Source organism: Homo sapiens, chromosome 3, assembly GCF_000001405.40.
Source record: "Homo sapiens chromosome 3, GRCh38.p14 Primary Assembly".
Taxonomy (NCBI): domain Eukaryota; kingdom Metazoa; phylum Chordata; class Mammalia; order Primates; family Hominidae; genus Homo; species Homo sapiens.
In genome coordinates this window covers 98,916,321-98,932,352 of record NC_000003.12, presented here as the reverse complement: position 1 = coordinate 98,932,352, position 16,032 = coordinate 98,916,321, and the positions used below count along the sequence as shown (strand labels likewise).

Below are 16,032 nucleotides of genomic sequence, written 5' to 3'. Positions count from 1 at the left end.
AGGAAACAACAGGTGCTGGAGAGGATGTGGAGAAATAGGAACACTTTTACACTGTTGATGGGAGTGTAAACTAATTCAACCATTGTGGAAGACTGTGTGGCGATTCCTCAGGGATCTGGAACTAGAAATACCATTTGACCCAGCCATCCCATTACTGGGTATATACCCAAAGATTATAAATTATGCTTCTATAAAGACACATGCACACGTGTGTTTATTGCGGCACTATTCACAATAGCAAAGACTTGGAACCAACCCAAATGTCCAACAATGATAGACTGGATTAAGAAAATGTGGCACATATACATCATGGAATACTATGCAGCCATAAAAAATGATGCGTTCATGTCCTTTGTAGGGACAAGGATGAAGCTGGAAACCATCATTCTCAGCAAACTATCGCAAGGACAAAAAACCAAACACCGCATGTTCTCACTCATAGGTGGGAATTGAACAATGAGAACACATGGACACAGGAAGGGGAACATCACACACTGGGGCCTGTTGTGGGATGGGGGAGGGAGGGGATAGCATTAGGAGATATACCTAATGTAAATGACAGGTTAATGGGTGCAGCACACCAACATGGCATATGTATACATATGTAACAAACCTGCACATTGTGCACATGTACCCTAGAACTTAAAGTATAATAAAAATATACAAAATAAAATAAAATTAAATTAAATTAAAAAACACTGCTTTAGTTGCATCCCAAAGATTTTGGTATGTTGTCTCTTTGTTCTTATTAGTTTCAAAGAACTTTTTGTTTTCTGCCTTAATTTCATTATTTACCCAAGAATCACTCAGGAGCAGGTTGTTCAATTTTCATGTAGTTGTGTGGTTTTAGAGAATTTCCTAATCTTGAATTCTAATTTGATTGCATGATGGTCTGAGAGACTGTTTATTATTATCTCAGTTATTTTGCATTTGCTGAGGAATGTTTTACTTCTGATTATGTTACCAATATGTTCACATTGGACAATATGGTCTCCATTATGTGGAGAGTTCTGTAGATATCTATCACATCCACTTGATCCAAAGCTGAGTTGAGGTTCTGAATACCTTTGTTAATTTTCTGTCTCAATGACCTAATATTGTCAGTGGAGTGTTAAATTCTCCTACTAGTATGGTGTTGGAGTCTAAGTCTCTTTGTAGGTCTCTAAGAACTTTCTTTATGAATCTGGGTGCTCCTGTATTGAGTCCGTTTAGGAGAGTCAGCTCTTCTTCTTGAATTGAACCCTTTTCCATTATGTAATGCCCTTCTTTGTCTTCTTTTAATCTTTGTTCGTTTAAAGTCTGTTCTGTCAGAAGGTAGTATTGCAACCCCTGCTTTTCTCTGTTTTCCATTTACTTGGTAAATTTTTCTCCATCCCTTTATTTTGAGCATATGTGTGCTTTGCATGTGAGATGGGTCTCTTGAAAACAGAATACCAATGGCATCTTGGCTCATTATCCAGCTTGCTATTTTGTGTCTTTTAATTGGGGCATTTAGCCCATTTACATTACATTTAGTATTGTTATGTGTGAATTTGATCCTGTCATCATGATGCTAGCTGGTTATTTTAAAGACTTGGTTATGTGGTTATTTTAAGGACTTGTTTATGTGGTTGCTTCATAGTGTCACTGGCTCATGTATTTCAGTGTGTTTTTGTAGTGGCTGGTAATGGTTTTTCCTTTCCATATTTAGTGCTTTCTTCAAGAGCTCTTGCAAGGCAGGCCCAGTGGTGACAAATTCCCTCAGCATTTGCTTGTCTGAAAAAAATCTTATTTCTCCTTTGCTTATGAACTATTGTTCAGCCAGATATGAAATTCTGGGTTGGAAATTATTTTCTTTAAGAATGTTGAATATTGCTTCCCAATCCTTTTGGCTTATAGGGTTTCCACTGAGAGTTCTGCTTTTAGTATGATGGGTTTCCCTTTGTAGGTGAACAGTCCTTTCTCTCTGGCTGTTCTTAATATTTTTTATTTCATTTCAACCTTGGAGAGTCTGATGGTTAGGTGTCTTGGGGTTGATCTTCTCATGGAGTATCTGACTGGGGTTCTCTGCATTTCCCAAAATTGAATGTTGCCCTGTCTTGCTAAATTGGGGAAGTTCTCTTGGATGATATCCTGAAGTATGTTTTCCAACTTGTTTTCATTTTCCCTGTCTCTTTCAGGTATCCCAATCAGCCATAGGTTCAGTCTCTTTACGTAATCCCATATTTCTCAGAGGTTTTGTTCATTCCTTTTAATTATTTTTTCTCTATTCTTGTCTGTCTATCTTATTTCAGAAAGATAACCTTCAAGCTCTGAGATTCTTTTCTCTGCTTGGTCTATTCTGCTATTGATGCTTATGATTGCATTATGAATTTCTTGTGTTGTGTTTTTCAGCTCCATCAGGTTGGTTATGTTTCTCTCTTAACTGGCTATTCTGGCTATCAGCTCCTGTAATGTTTTATCATGATTCTTAGCTTGTTTGCATTACATTATAACATGCTCCTTTAGCTTAGCAAAGTTTGTTATTACTCACTTTCTGAAGCTTACTTCTGTCAATTCAGCCATCTCAGCCTCAGTCCAGTTCTGTGCCCTTCCTGGAGAGGTGCTGCAATCATTTTGAGAAGAAGCACTCTGGTTTTTTGAGTTTTCAGCATTTTTGTGTTGATTATTTCTCATCTTTGTAGGCTTATCTACCTTCGATCTTTGAGGTTGCTAACATTTGAATAAGGTTTTCGTGGGTTTTTTTTTTTTTTTTTTTTTTTTTTTTGAGACGGAGTCTCGCTCTGTCGCCCAGGCTGGACTGCAGTGGCGCGATCTCGGCTCACTGCAAGCTCCGCCTCCCGGGTTCACGCCATTCTCCTGCCTCAGCCTCCCGAGTAGCTGGGACTACAGGCGCCCGCCACCACGCCCGGCTAATTTTTTGTATTTTTAGTAGAGACGGGGTTTCACTGTGTTAGCCAGGATGGTCTCGATCTCCTGACCTCATGATCCGCCCGCCTCGGCCTCCCAAAGTGCTGGGATTACAGGCGTGAGCCACCGCGCCCGGCCTTGTGGGTTTTTTTTTTAATGCTGTTGTTTTTTGTTTGTGTGTTTGTTTTTCTTTTATAATAACCCTCAGGCCATTCTATCATAGGTCTGCTGAAGTTTGCTGGGGGTCTGGTCCAGATCCCAGTTGCCTTGTTTTTTTCCCATACCTGGACTTATCACCAGTGAAGCCTTTAAAACAGCAAAGATAGTAGCAAGCTCCTTCCTGTGGAAGTTCCATCCCGGGGCGGTTCTGACCTGTTGCCAACCCACATGCATCAGGAGGTTGCTGGAGACCCCCATTGGGAGGGCTTACCCAGTCAGGAGGAACAGAATCAGTGACTTACCCAAAGAAGCAGTCTGACTGCTTTTTGGTAGAGCAGTTGTGCTGCACTCTGGGAGACCCTTCCTTGTCCAGACAGCCTGTATTCTCCACAGTCTGCATGCTGGAGCAGCTGAATCAACAGGACCACAGAGATGGTGGCAGCCCTTCCCCCAGGAACTCCATCCCAGGGAGAGATCAGAGTTTTATCTGTAGAACCCTGGCTGGAGTGGCTGAAGCCCCTGCAAGGAGATCCTGCCCAGTGAGGAGGAATGGATCGGGATCCCACTTGGCGGGCAGATCACGAGGTCAGGACATCGAGACCAAGGTGAAACCCTGTCTCTACTAAAAATACCAAAAAAATTAGCCGGCGCGGTGGCAGGCGCCTGTAGTCCCAGCTACTCGCAAAGCTGAGGCAGGAGAATGGCGTGAACCCGGGAGGCGGAGCTTGCAGTGAGCTGAGATCGCGCCTCCGCACTCTAGCCTGGGTGACAGAGCGAGACTCTGTCTCAAAAAAAAAGCAGTCTGGCCACAATCTGGAAAGGTAGCTGTGCTGCACTGCGGTGGACCCTTCCTCATCCAGACCATCTGTATTCTCCACAGCCAGCAGACTGAAACAACTAAGTGAACCGAACTGCAGAAATGGCAGCTGCCCCACCTCCTGAGGGCTTCCTCCCAGGGAAAGATCAGAGCTCTGTCCATAGAACTCTTGCTGGCATGGTTGAAGCCCCCACAGGGAGGTCCTGCCAGTAAGAAAGAATGGATTGGGGTCCCATTTAAAGAAGCAGTCTGGCTTTGCTCTGGCAAGGCAGCTGTACTGTGTTGTAAAGGACCCATCCTCATCTGATCATCTGTATTCTCCATAGCTGGCAGGCTGGAGTGGCTAAATCAACAGAATTGCAGAGATGGTGGTCACCCCTCCACACAGGACCTCAGACCCATCTCAGGCAGACTCCAACCCACTGCCATTGGCAGGTTGGGATTCCAAACCAGTGGGTCTTAACTTATGAGGTTCCGTGGGAGTGGGGCCCTCAGAAATAAGCTGCTTGGCTCCCTGGATTTAGCCCCCTTCCTAAGTATATGTATGGATGGATTTCGCACCTTGACAGGAATCCTGGGGTGGGAGAATGTAAAACTCCTGGGCCTCTGTCTATGCCTGAACAGCTGCTCTGCCGAGACTCCACACAGCTCTGTGTATCAGACCCAAGGCCCTGGTGGTGTGGGCTCATGAGGGAATCTCCTGATCCATGGATTGTAAAGGTCCATGGGAGAAGCATGGTTTCCCAGTCCAGGTTGCATAATCACCTACCACTTCCCTTGGCTGGGGTTGGGGGTTCCTCTCGGTGCCACTCCCAGTTGGGCCATTGTCCCACCAGCTCCCTAGTTTTCTTTGTTCTTTGTGGGTTGGATTGTTTGCCTGGTCAGTCCCAATGCAAGAACCTGGATATTTCAGTTGAAGGTGCTGAATTCACACTCCTCTTTGATCATTCCTCTCTGTGAATGCCACAGACCACACCTGCTTCTAATTGGCTATCTTGGCTCGATTGGCCTAATTTCTTTTACTCGTCTTATTGCAATAACTAGAACTTTTAGTACATTGTTGAATAGAAGAGTTGAGATTAAACGTTCTTACTTTTTTTCTGGAAAGCATTTCGTATTTCACAATTAAATATTAAATTAGGTTTGCCATTTTTATAGATGCCTTTTATCAGGTTAAGTATATTCCCTTATAGTCTGAGTTTGCTGAGTTTTTATAAAACTCATAAATATTGAAAATGAATTTTTTAAAATATAAAACTCATGAATGTGAATATTAAATTTTTCAAATGCTTTTGCTGTGTCAATTGTTATGATCATGTGGTTTTCCTTTTAGTCTCTAACATAATGAATTAAATTGATTTATTTTTAAACATTAAATCAACTTGGCATTCATGTAATTAACCTCACTCAGTTGTTGATCACGACTCTTTTACATATGGCTGAATTCAACTTACTAATATTTTATTGAGCATTGTGTATATGTTCATGTGGAATATTGCTGCATAGTTTACTTTTTTTCTTGTAATGCCTTTGCCAGATTTTGGCATCAAATTAGTGCTGATCACATAAAATGAATTGGAAAGTGTTCTCTCTTCTATTTTCTGGAAGAGGTTTTATAGAATTATTATTAGTTATCCTTTAAAAGCCTGGAAGCATTCACCAGTGCAACTGTCTGTGCCTGGAGGGTTTTTTGGGGGGAAGGAGAAGGTTAAATTATAAATACAAATTCTTTAATAGTTATGGAGTTATTCAGATTATATATTTCATATTGAGTTCTGGTAGTTTGCGCTTTTTGAGGCATTTATTCATTTCAACAAACTGTCAAGTTTACATGTAGAATTGTTTGTAATATTTACTTACTATTCTTATGATGTCTAAAAGGTCTATAATCACACACCCTGTTTCATTCCTAATATGAGTAATTTAAATTTTCTCTTTTTAAATGTTTTTAGTCTTTTAGAAGTATATCAATTTTGTTGACCTTTACAGCCAGTTTTTTGCTTCACTGATTTTCTCTATTGTTTTTCTGTTTTCAAGATTATTGATTCTGTCCTTATTTGTATTACTTCCATCTTCTGCTTGTCAGGGGAGTATCTAACTATTGTTTTTCCAGTTTCTTTAGATAGAAAGTTCAATTATTAATTTGAGAACTTTTATTTTCTAAAGTAAGCATTTGGTGCTATAAATTTCCCTCTCAGCACTGATTTCATGCATTCCATATATTTGGATATGTTGTATTTTTATTTTCATGGAACTCATTGTATTTTTTAAAGTGTCCTTTACGATGTAGCAGCATGGCAGACACTAGCTGCCAGGGCTGTTTGATTCACACTTATGACTTATATAAGAAATAAAATTATATAAAACGTCCTGGTAATTTTTCCTTGATAATAAGATTATGTTTACCTTAAAAATAGTATATTTTCTATAATTATTTTTACATAAGTGGAAATAAAAATGGGGAATATAAAACTTAAATGATGTTGACCCATATGAAATTATACTGTTTTACTTATTTAATACACAAAAGCATTAGTCCCCTGTGGTTCAATCTAATAATTCTTAGAATTTGATACATATGGTTCTCCTTTAAGTATTGCTTCTCAATATCTCATTTTAGGAATTGGGGTAACAAAGAAAGACAAAAATTTGTGGTGTATATCAGAGTCAGGACCAGATGAGGCCTTGTGAGTCTTCTAGATTAAAAAAATGAATTATTAGCTTAGCACAGTAGCTCACACCTGTAATCCCAGCACTTTGGGAGGCCAACGTGGGAGAACTGCTAGAGCTGAGGAGTTCAAGACCAGCCCGGCCAACACAGGGACATGCCCAAATCTACAAAAAATACAAAAATTATCCAGGCATGGTGGTGTACCCCTGTAGTCCCAGCTACATGGCAGGCTGAGGTAGGAAGACGGCTTGATCTCAGGAGGTCAAGGCTGCAGTGAGCCATGATCACACCACTCCACTTCAACCTAGATGACAGAATGAGACCCTGACTCAAAATTAAAAAAAAAAAATAAAAATAAAAAATAAATTCTTCCCTTTTTTTTTGAGATGGAGTCTCGCCATGTCGCTCAGGTGGGAGTGCATTTGTGCGATCTCGGCTCACTGTGACCTCTGCCTCCTGGGTTCAAGCAATTCTCCCTCAGCCTCCAGAGTAGCTGAGATTATAGATGCACATCACCATTCCCAGCTAATTTTTGTATTTTTAGTAGAGATGGGGTTTCCCCATGTTGGCCAGGCTGGTCTCAAACTCCTGACGTTAGGTGATCTGCCCGCCGTGGCCTCCCAAAGTGCTGGGATTACAGGCGTGAGCCACCATGGCCAGACAATAAATTCTTAAGACCAGGTTAAAGGAGGCAGATGCAGCCTTGACTAGGTAGTTCAAGTCTTCTAGAGTATCCAAGAGGTTATTTAGACACAAATATCAGAGCATGAAGATAATGCCAAAGATGAGGCCTCAGGTAAAGGCTACTCATTGCATCTCTAGTTACAGGCCATACTCTAGTATGTTCCAAAGAGGGTACCTTACAGAATCAGCTACATGAAAATCTGTTTTTGTGGCTCACAGCGTGACATTGGACAATGTTTTTAACTTTGTTTGTGAAGCAGAGATAATAATGCCTGATTTGTAGTATTGTTGCAGAGATCTAGCTATACAACACGTGGGAGGGCCTGGGATAAATTAGGCAATCAGTATATGTTAATTTCCTTCTTCCTTAGCCTCTAAGGAAATCGCTGCTCTGGAAGACCCTAGAGTTAGAGGAGTGGTGCATATTAATGGTTCAGGCATGGCCTTTCAATCACAGTGCTATGCTCAGACCTTGTATTAGTCTGTTCTCAAGCTGCTATGAAGAAATACCTGAGACTGGGAAATTCATAAAAGAAGGAGGTTGAATTAACTCTCAGTTCCACATGGCTAGGGAGGACTCAGGAAACTTACAATCACAGAAGGCACCTCTTCACAAGGCAGCAGCAGAGAGAATGAGAGCCGAGTGAAGGAAAGCCCCTTTTAAAACCATCAGATCTCGTGAGAACTCACTCAGTATCATGAGAACAGCCGGGGGAAAACCGCATCCGTGATTCAATTATCTCCACCTGATCCCACCCTTAAAACATGGGGATTATTACAATTCAAGGTGAGATTTGGGTAGGGACACAGAGCCAAACCATATCAGACCTCATTAGCCATATGACAAATGGCAAATTATGTAACTTCTTGATATTTCAGTTTTTCTTCTATGAAAGGATTTATCAGTACTGCCTATCTCCTAGGGTTGTTGAGAAGATTAAATCAGTCAATATATGTAATGCCTTTAGAACACTGCTCTGCAAATAGCAAGCACTATGTACATGCTATTTTATTAGTGGCATCGGAAAACTGATTCGGATCAACAACTTCATTTTGAAGGTAATCATGGAGTGGGGAGAGGCAGAAGTTGGATGAGGAAGAGAAGGAGGAGAGGAAAGGAGAAAGAAGAGGAGGGGCAGGTAGGAAGAGAAGAAGAAGGAGAAGAGGAGAGAAAGGAAGGCGGAAGATGAGTGGGGCATGAGGAGAAGGGGAGGAGGAGGAAGGGGGAGAAAGGAGATGTAAAAGAGAAGAAAGAGAAAAGAAAATACATATATTTAAAACAGCCCCTTTCTTTGTCTAAGAAGCTGGGAAGAATAGTACTAACACTGTGGCAGACAGGACACTTGCTACATCAAATATTTCTAGTAATGAAATCTTAAAGTTTCTTTTGTGTTTGTTTTGTTTTTTGAGTCAGGGTCTTGCTCTGTCACCCAGGCTGGAGTGCAGTGGTGCGATCTCAGCTCACTGCAGCCTCCACCTCCTGGACCTGGGTGATCTTCCCACCTCAGCTTCCTGAGTAGCTGGGACCACAGGCACATGCCACCACGCCCAGCTAATTTTTGTATTGTTTGTAGAGACAGGGTTTCGCCATGTTTCCCAGGCCAGTCTCAAACTCCTGGGCTCAAATAATCCTCTCACCATGGCCTCCCAAAGTGCTGGGATTACAGGCACGAACTGCCACACCTGGCCTCTGAGAATATTTTTATTGTTTGCTTTTGAAGGATAAAAGCAGGTAATAAGGAAAGTCCAGAGAAATTAACCAGTGAGAATATAGGTAAAATGGTGAGCAAAAAGAGAGAGGGAAGTTGCTATGCAGCAATGCTACAGTCATTGTGGATTTCATTTCAGAGAGGAGGAACTACAAGTGACAGATAATCACTTCATTTACTTTAGGTCTCTGAATACAAGATAATCCTTGATGCAAAAGTATCTTTGAGGAGCTTAGTGATTTTTCCCCTTAATGGATTGATGTCTTCATAGTACACATTGTAATAATTGGTTTTGCTTTATCTCCTAAATGTATGACCTTATGGCTTTCTTTTTAATAATTGTTGGCAGCTAGCTCTGCATGACAGCATTGAATACAAATATCACTGATGATGATGAATGGATTGAGGAATGCGGAATGCATTGTACTAAAAGGGTAAGACATTATGTCTATGTAATTGCTTCATCTCCGTTAGGATAGACAAAGTTCAAAGAAATGTGAACACAGATGACTCACAAGACATGTTCTTTAGGGTGACCCAGAACGCATTTCTCTGATTACATTAACCTTTTCTCCCTTCTGCACTTATCACAAGTGCACTTGCTGTACAGGGCATCTTGACAGGGTGCTCAGCCACTTAACTTTCCCACTTTTATTTATTGCAATATTTCCCCAAAGACAGCACTCAAAAACAGTAAAGTGGCAGGAAAACATTCATCTGAAATTGAGTTTCCAACATTTTTCCAAAATGCATATTAAGCAGTTTATATGTTTCATCATAAATATTATTCTTTCATATTTTGTTTGTAATATTGCCCGTCAGTATGTACTAATAAGAGTTTTGAAAAGCCTATACTAATTTGGTATTTTCTAGTTAACAACTGTGTGAGACACATTTTGGGGGGCCTAACCTATCTTTGTAAAGATTCTTAAAACAGTCTTGTTGGAATGGTATTCTAATTGATATAATTTTCCAACAAATAGGGTGTTCAACAAATCGTGATTCAAATACTTGAACCTTCTATTGCCTGAGAGCTCACTACTTAATGAGGTAGCCTTGACTATTGTCTTTGAACATTTTGAAGACTTTGAGTATTTAGATGATTGTTTCTGATCTTAAGATATTAACTCTGTAACCTCACAATCTATGCCTCTTCCTTATGATGATTCTTGGAATATCTGAAAGCTGGCATTACATGACCTCTTTGCCAAGCTTTTGTCTCCCGTCATGAGAAGTGGTCACTGGACTGAAGAAAATGTTGGCAAATGTCCTAGACCTCTTGAGCCTGACAAAATTCATCATGAACTCCGACACCAGACTTAAAGTATTCCAGCATAGTCCTATGGGTCAAAGTAGTTAGAGTATGATAAAATATTCACTTTCTGTCTCCTGAACCATAGTTTTTTTGGTCAGAAGACTGCTTCCTTCTTAGGAGCAGCTTACTTATCTGCTGTTCAAATCCAGATTACGACCAACTAAAAAGCCTTGTTCTTTTTTATACAGACCACTAAATAGTCACCCCCTTCCCACTGTCATTTTCTATCCCTTGTTTTAGGAAATCTAAAGAATCCATTCTATTAGATCATGCTAAAGGCCTTCAATACATAATGATTAAGAGCTTGTACTTTAGATCCAGTCTACTCGGGCTCAAAACTTAACTCTATCATTTCCTTGCTATGTGGCCTTGGGCAAGTGACTTGATGTCTCAATACACCATTCCTCATCTGTGAAATAAGAATCAAATGAACTAATTTATGCAAATCACATAGAAGAGTGGATATAGTGAGCACTAGACAAGTGTTTCCGGCTATTATTTTGTGTTCAGCTATTTCTCCCAGCATTGTATCTTCTGCAGACTAGAATACTATGCTGTCTATGCAGTAACCTGAGTGATTGATAAAAAGGCAAACAGTATAGTAGCAAGAACAGACTCACAGAATTCCTCCCAGGTTTCTCTTTGAGTTCCAAGAGTAGAGTAGACATTTGCCTAGCTTTCTGTCTGAAATGTTGGAAGAAGCACCTTCACATAGTCATAGTGGGGTCTATAGAGATAGCAGCACAGCAGATCTAGCCATGAGAGGGCTACAGATTATCCTCCTCATCCTCCCAAGTTGTTCATAACCTAAAGTGGTATAGAGAGCATTTGAAAGTACCTGTGGGTTCTGAGTGGGGTTTCGGGAGAGTCCTCTGGAGATAAAGCAAGATGATATGCCTATTTAGGGCTGTGCAGTCTGGACAAGGAATGCATGTCAGTAAGATCCAGGGTAGATAGTACACCACTAAAGTTTGGATTTGGATTTGTGTCTTTGCAGGTGGTAGAGGCAGGGGTAGAGCATGAGTTGGGTTGTTGTCCACACACCATACCGTTGCCAATGCAGCTGGAGCACTACAATCACCAATGGCAAACACCAAAACAGAAGGATCACTTCTAGATCAAAAGGCTAGCCAGTGGCACCATAGATCAAGACCTAAAAGCAGACATCTCCCTCCCCAGTGATGTCTTGAGACAGAGACCCTCTCAATTACATTTTTTGTATGCCTCAGCTTTTCTGAACTGTTGTGATTCCATAAAATGTATACACTGCATAACTAAAAACCTCACACATACACACTCTAACTTTCCCACTCTTCCTTCTTTTAAATGGTAGTGCTCTTTTATTCTCTTACCACTATGAAAGGGTTTGGGGCACTCCTACAACTACCTCAGAGAGAAAAGCTAGTTATTTAAGTACTGTAGATGAGGTAAAGTACACAAATACATCATATTATCTAGTTATGCTGAAATACTTTTTAAACCCTGATCAGTTCATTTAAGCATTCGCTAAGATGTCTCTTTTTTAATGCAGTGTAAACCATTGGCTTTCAAACTTTGGGGACTAATCGGATACGCTTGGTTGCAAGTGACATAAAACCTTATTCAAGCTTATTTAAATAAGAACATTTATTAGCTCACAGGAGAGGAAGCCCAGACATAGTCCAGGCTTCAGAACATTGTTGAACCAGTGGCTCAACAATGTCATGAAGATTCTAGTTCTTTTCCTCTCTTTGCTCTTACACCCACAGTGTCAGATTCCTCATCTCATATTGTAGGCTGGTTTCCAGGCTGGGCCAAATGCTTCCTCAGACATGTGCATTTGGAGGAAGGGCAGCTTTTCTCTCTCAAGGGTGAAGGGGAAAAGCTGGGTGATGGGTACATCAGGTTTATTCATCTATTCTTTCTGAATTTGAAGCAAATTTTGCAAAAGAGCATGGAGTTACCCTTAGATCAAGTATGCTCCCCCAAAACTGATATTAATTCTCAAAAATATATTGCTGACATACGATGTGCAAGCTATGAAATGAGTACTGGGGAGTTAACTACCAGAACCAGAAGAATCAGAAATCAGAAACTTGTTGAATCTGAAAAAAGCAATGGAACCTGTTCCCAGAAAATACAAATATGTACCAAATTTTGCACTCAATTTCAGGAGGCTCAAAAAGCCTCCTGAAGCACAATTAGAGCTCCCCCGGGAGTCTATGAACTTCAAGGCTATAAACCCAACAAGGCTATAAACTGACCCACGGGGCACAATAATTCTAACAGTATGCCTTTCTTTTCATTCTAGGTCCAGAAATTGCCACAAGTCTCTTTTTGAGTCTCAGAGAAGCAAGGCCATCATGTATAAGCCAGGTTGCTTTCTGATCTTAACTTGATAAATGAAATCAGCTGCTGATATCTCTTCAACAAGCCCTAGCTTCATTCTTTCTGCTTCCTATATTGCGTACTCTTCTTTCAGCTCTCCACACACTCCACAGACCTTGACATATACAGACCCATCCAGTTTTCAGGTCACACTGACCCTTCCTTTCTCTTTGCCTTAGGCTACTCCTTAGTTTCTGCAGTTTGCATCAAAATATTCCAGATTCTAAAGTGCAGATTTATTAAGTGTTTACTATGGAGTAGGGTTGGTAGTAGGTATTTTGCCTACATTAAATTGCTAAATGCTGACAACAAGTTCATAGGGAAAGGAATATTTATGTTGTTCTAAGATGAGGAAGTCATTCTACACAGACATTAGTTACCAAAGGGCAGAATTGGGATTTGAACCCAGGCCTTCCTGACTCTAGATTATAATGCTCTTTCCACAGCTTCACCACATCCCTAGACCTTCTGTCTTCCCCTTATTTAGTTCTGTGCATTACAAAAAAAGATACCAACTTCCCAAAGAAGCTTTTGTCAATTGCCTCTTAGCATTTTAAAAATTTCAGATCTCACATTAATATAAAGCCATGAAAATATCAACTTTTGATCTAGAGCTCATCCTTCAATTCACACTTGCCCTATGGGAGGGGAGTATTTCATCCTTTTTTAAAATTAATGCTCCTAAAAAGGGGAGTTTTTTGTTTCATCTCATTTTTTTTCTTTTCCTCTATTGCTCCTGGGAAGATCTTAATTTGACCCAATAACTGAAAATATTTTGGTATATGATTTTTAAGCAAAAGACACAATAGTTTTCTAACTTCTTTTTAGTTATCTAAACATTATCTGTTTTAGTGCTTCTTTGAAACACTCCTCTAGTTTTTCTAATCTTATTTATATAACTAGTCATCTTCTCCACATTCCAGTCAGGGGAGTAGAATCACAGACAGAAACAATCTTCTACAATGCTGAGATTGTGACAAGAGACAGAGCTCTTTTTTCAAAGCTGCTTGCTTACAGTAAATTTAATCATACTGCAGTTCTGTGATGTTAATAACAAAATCAAATACCTTCTCCTTGCATCAAAAAATAGCTTGGTATTTATTATATGTACACAAATAACTCCTAGCAAATTGGATATGGCTCACATGTATGTAGGAATGAAACAGCAAACTAACGCTTGAGTGTCTTCACAGTCCTGGGACTAGACCTTAATAGAATGACAAAGTTACAGAGAAAAGTGGGGCTTTGTAGATAGATAGAAAATGACTAGGGTAATATCAACATTATTTAGTAACTGGTATAGCACATGTCCTTATCAGATGCCAACCTCAGCCCCTGTGCAGGGGCCTAGAATCCTCCAACCATGCTACAGGTTGCCAGATTAGATGCTAGACAGTAAGGAGATCTGTAGAGTAGGAGCCACAGTGGTGAGGGCACACTTGGGGAAAACAGGACAATGACTATTTACTTACTGAATGAAAATATTCCAAAACTCTAGTATCTGCCCTTTATGGTATAAATCTACTGCATATCAGTTGTAAGAAAAAGGGTCAGAGATTAGATGACCCAAAGTCCCCAGAAAAGTCCCAGTTTATACTTGGTATTCCAGTGCTATTAGCAAGAGCTCCTTTTGAGACAATCACGTTTGCTTTTTGTGCCTTTATATTAGGATGACCATATATCTCAAAGTGTCTCTGATTGGACAATATATAGTCACCCTAATACAAGGATGAAAAGACAAAATACGATTCTCCCTGAATAAAAACTCATAGACAGGGGAAGACCTTGACATCCAGAAGAAAAAAAAATGGCAACACAGAGAAATTTTCCCTACTAATTCTTAACAAAGACTGTGGGTATATGAATGCCAGTGTTCAGTGTAATCTAGGGAGTCAAGGACACAGCTGAAGACAGCCCAAGATAACAGAGCTGCCAATGAATCCCATTGCCATGCTCTAGGAAAAGTAAGAGCCAGAGGAAAGACAGAAGACAAACACAGGGAAACTTGGCAAAGAGACTCTTCAGCCACAATAAGCAAAACAAAAGAAAACCCAAAGAATGGACAGGGCTGCCTTGTATGGCCATGGAGGTTGTGCACTACCCAGCAACAGAAATTTCATTCCCTCCATTAGACTATCACATGAATGCCATTCCCTAGAATTTAACAGTGCATTAGCATATGTGGCAGTCTCAAGACTAGCATTGTCTCAGCTCCCATGTGCCTGCACATTGACCTAATATTTTATATAAATTTTCCTTTAATTAAATTTCTTTTCTGAAACCCATCTGTCAATAATTCAGATGATATGTTCAGGATTTTTCTTCAGAGTTATGTGCAAACAATTCTATGGTATTAATTACTTGGTAACTTTGAAGAAGAGTAATCACTTCATCCCACAGTCAAAGAAAAAAGTAAGTCATAGACTGCATTTTCAAAATAAGGCAGATAAAGCAGTGAGCAAAGATTCATTAAGGATGCTTCCGCACTGTGGAACAATTCACAAAGTTCCTACACTTACCAGTTCACAGGCTGTATCACTTCCTTTGTATAATACTTTTTCATTTGACAAGGAGTGCAATTAAGGACCATTACATGTTATATAGTGGGCAAGGATAATCAAAGAGATTGCAGTTATTATGATCTTTATATCATTAAAACAGACATCTTTTAAGTCACCATGGAAAATAAAGATGTCCTAGTATATTCCAAACTCTTTCACAGAAAGTAGATACAAATAAAAAATTCACATTTACATTATACTCCCAAATTACAATGTCTTCAAGTTTTACCTTCCTTGCTGGAACTAAAAGGAGAAATAAATGTTTCTCTGACAGAAAGGTCAGAGATGGTTGAATTAAAATGCAAATGAGGAATCAAAGTGACCTAAATAATATTTTGACAGCTGTTGGGGGCTGAAAAAATTAATATAGTTTTCATGGTAGCTAGTAACTCCTAAGACAATACTTTGTATGTATCTACCTTCATGCCTTTGTCCATGTCATTTGCTTCTTTGATAGTGTCCTAAACTTTCAACTTACTAAAATCCTGTCCATTCTTCATGTCCTCCTCTATGAAGCTTTCCAGATCCTTCCAATAAAATGCAATATCTCCATCCATTACATCTATACCTATTTCATGGTATGCACTGGACTCTACTTTGTATTATATATATTTGGATGCTTATCTAATCATCTCTAATAAGTTTCTTCAAGGAAGAGTCATTACTTATTCATATTTATTTTCTACTATAGTATTGAAGACAATATGTTAGACATTTTAAAAATTGCTTAAGGTTTATTTAATTAAATTAGGGAATAGGGAATAACAGTCGTACTGTAACTCCATACTCAGTATCTATGAAAGAGACTATTGTACCAACTCATAACAAAGTCTTTTCAATAAAAAGTTCTTTTAAAGTCT

The 16,032-nt window shown here is 39.6% G+C and overlaps 1 long non-coding RNA gene across 1 annotated transcript in view, besides 2 other annotated features; it reads right to left on the bottom strand.

The window, feature by feature from the left end:
* LINC00973 (long intergenic non-protein coding RNA 973) overlaps positions 1 to 16,032 on the bottom strand; it is an 84,276-nt gene that overhangs the window by 66,489 nt on the left and 1,755 nt on the right. The gene's annotated exons all lie outside the window — the stretch shown is intronic.
* Positions 3,596 to 3,787: a silencer, noted in NCBI's record as "fragment chr3:98647410-98647601 (GRCh37/hg19 assembly coordinates)". NCBI's record gives its function as "represses an EF-1alpha promoter that drives an FKBP-Casp9 reporter gene in an ReSE screen in phorbol 12-myristate 13-acetate-treated (for megakaryocytic differentiation) K562 erythroleukemia cells {active_cell/tissue: K562(+PMA)}" and the evidence as "EXISTENCE:reporter gene assay evidence [ECO:0000049][PMID:32094911]".
* Positions 9,214 to 9,508: an enhancer, noted in NCBI's record as "tiled region #3286; HepG2 Activating DNase matched - State 9:DNaseU". NCBI's record gives its function as "activates a minimal TATA promoter and a strong SV40 promoter by Sharpr-MPRA in HepG2 cells {active_cell/tissue: HepG2}" and the evidence as "EXISTENCE:reporter gene assay evidence [ECO:0000049][PMID:27701403]".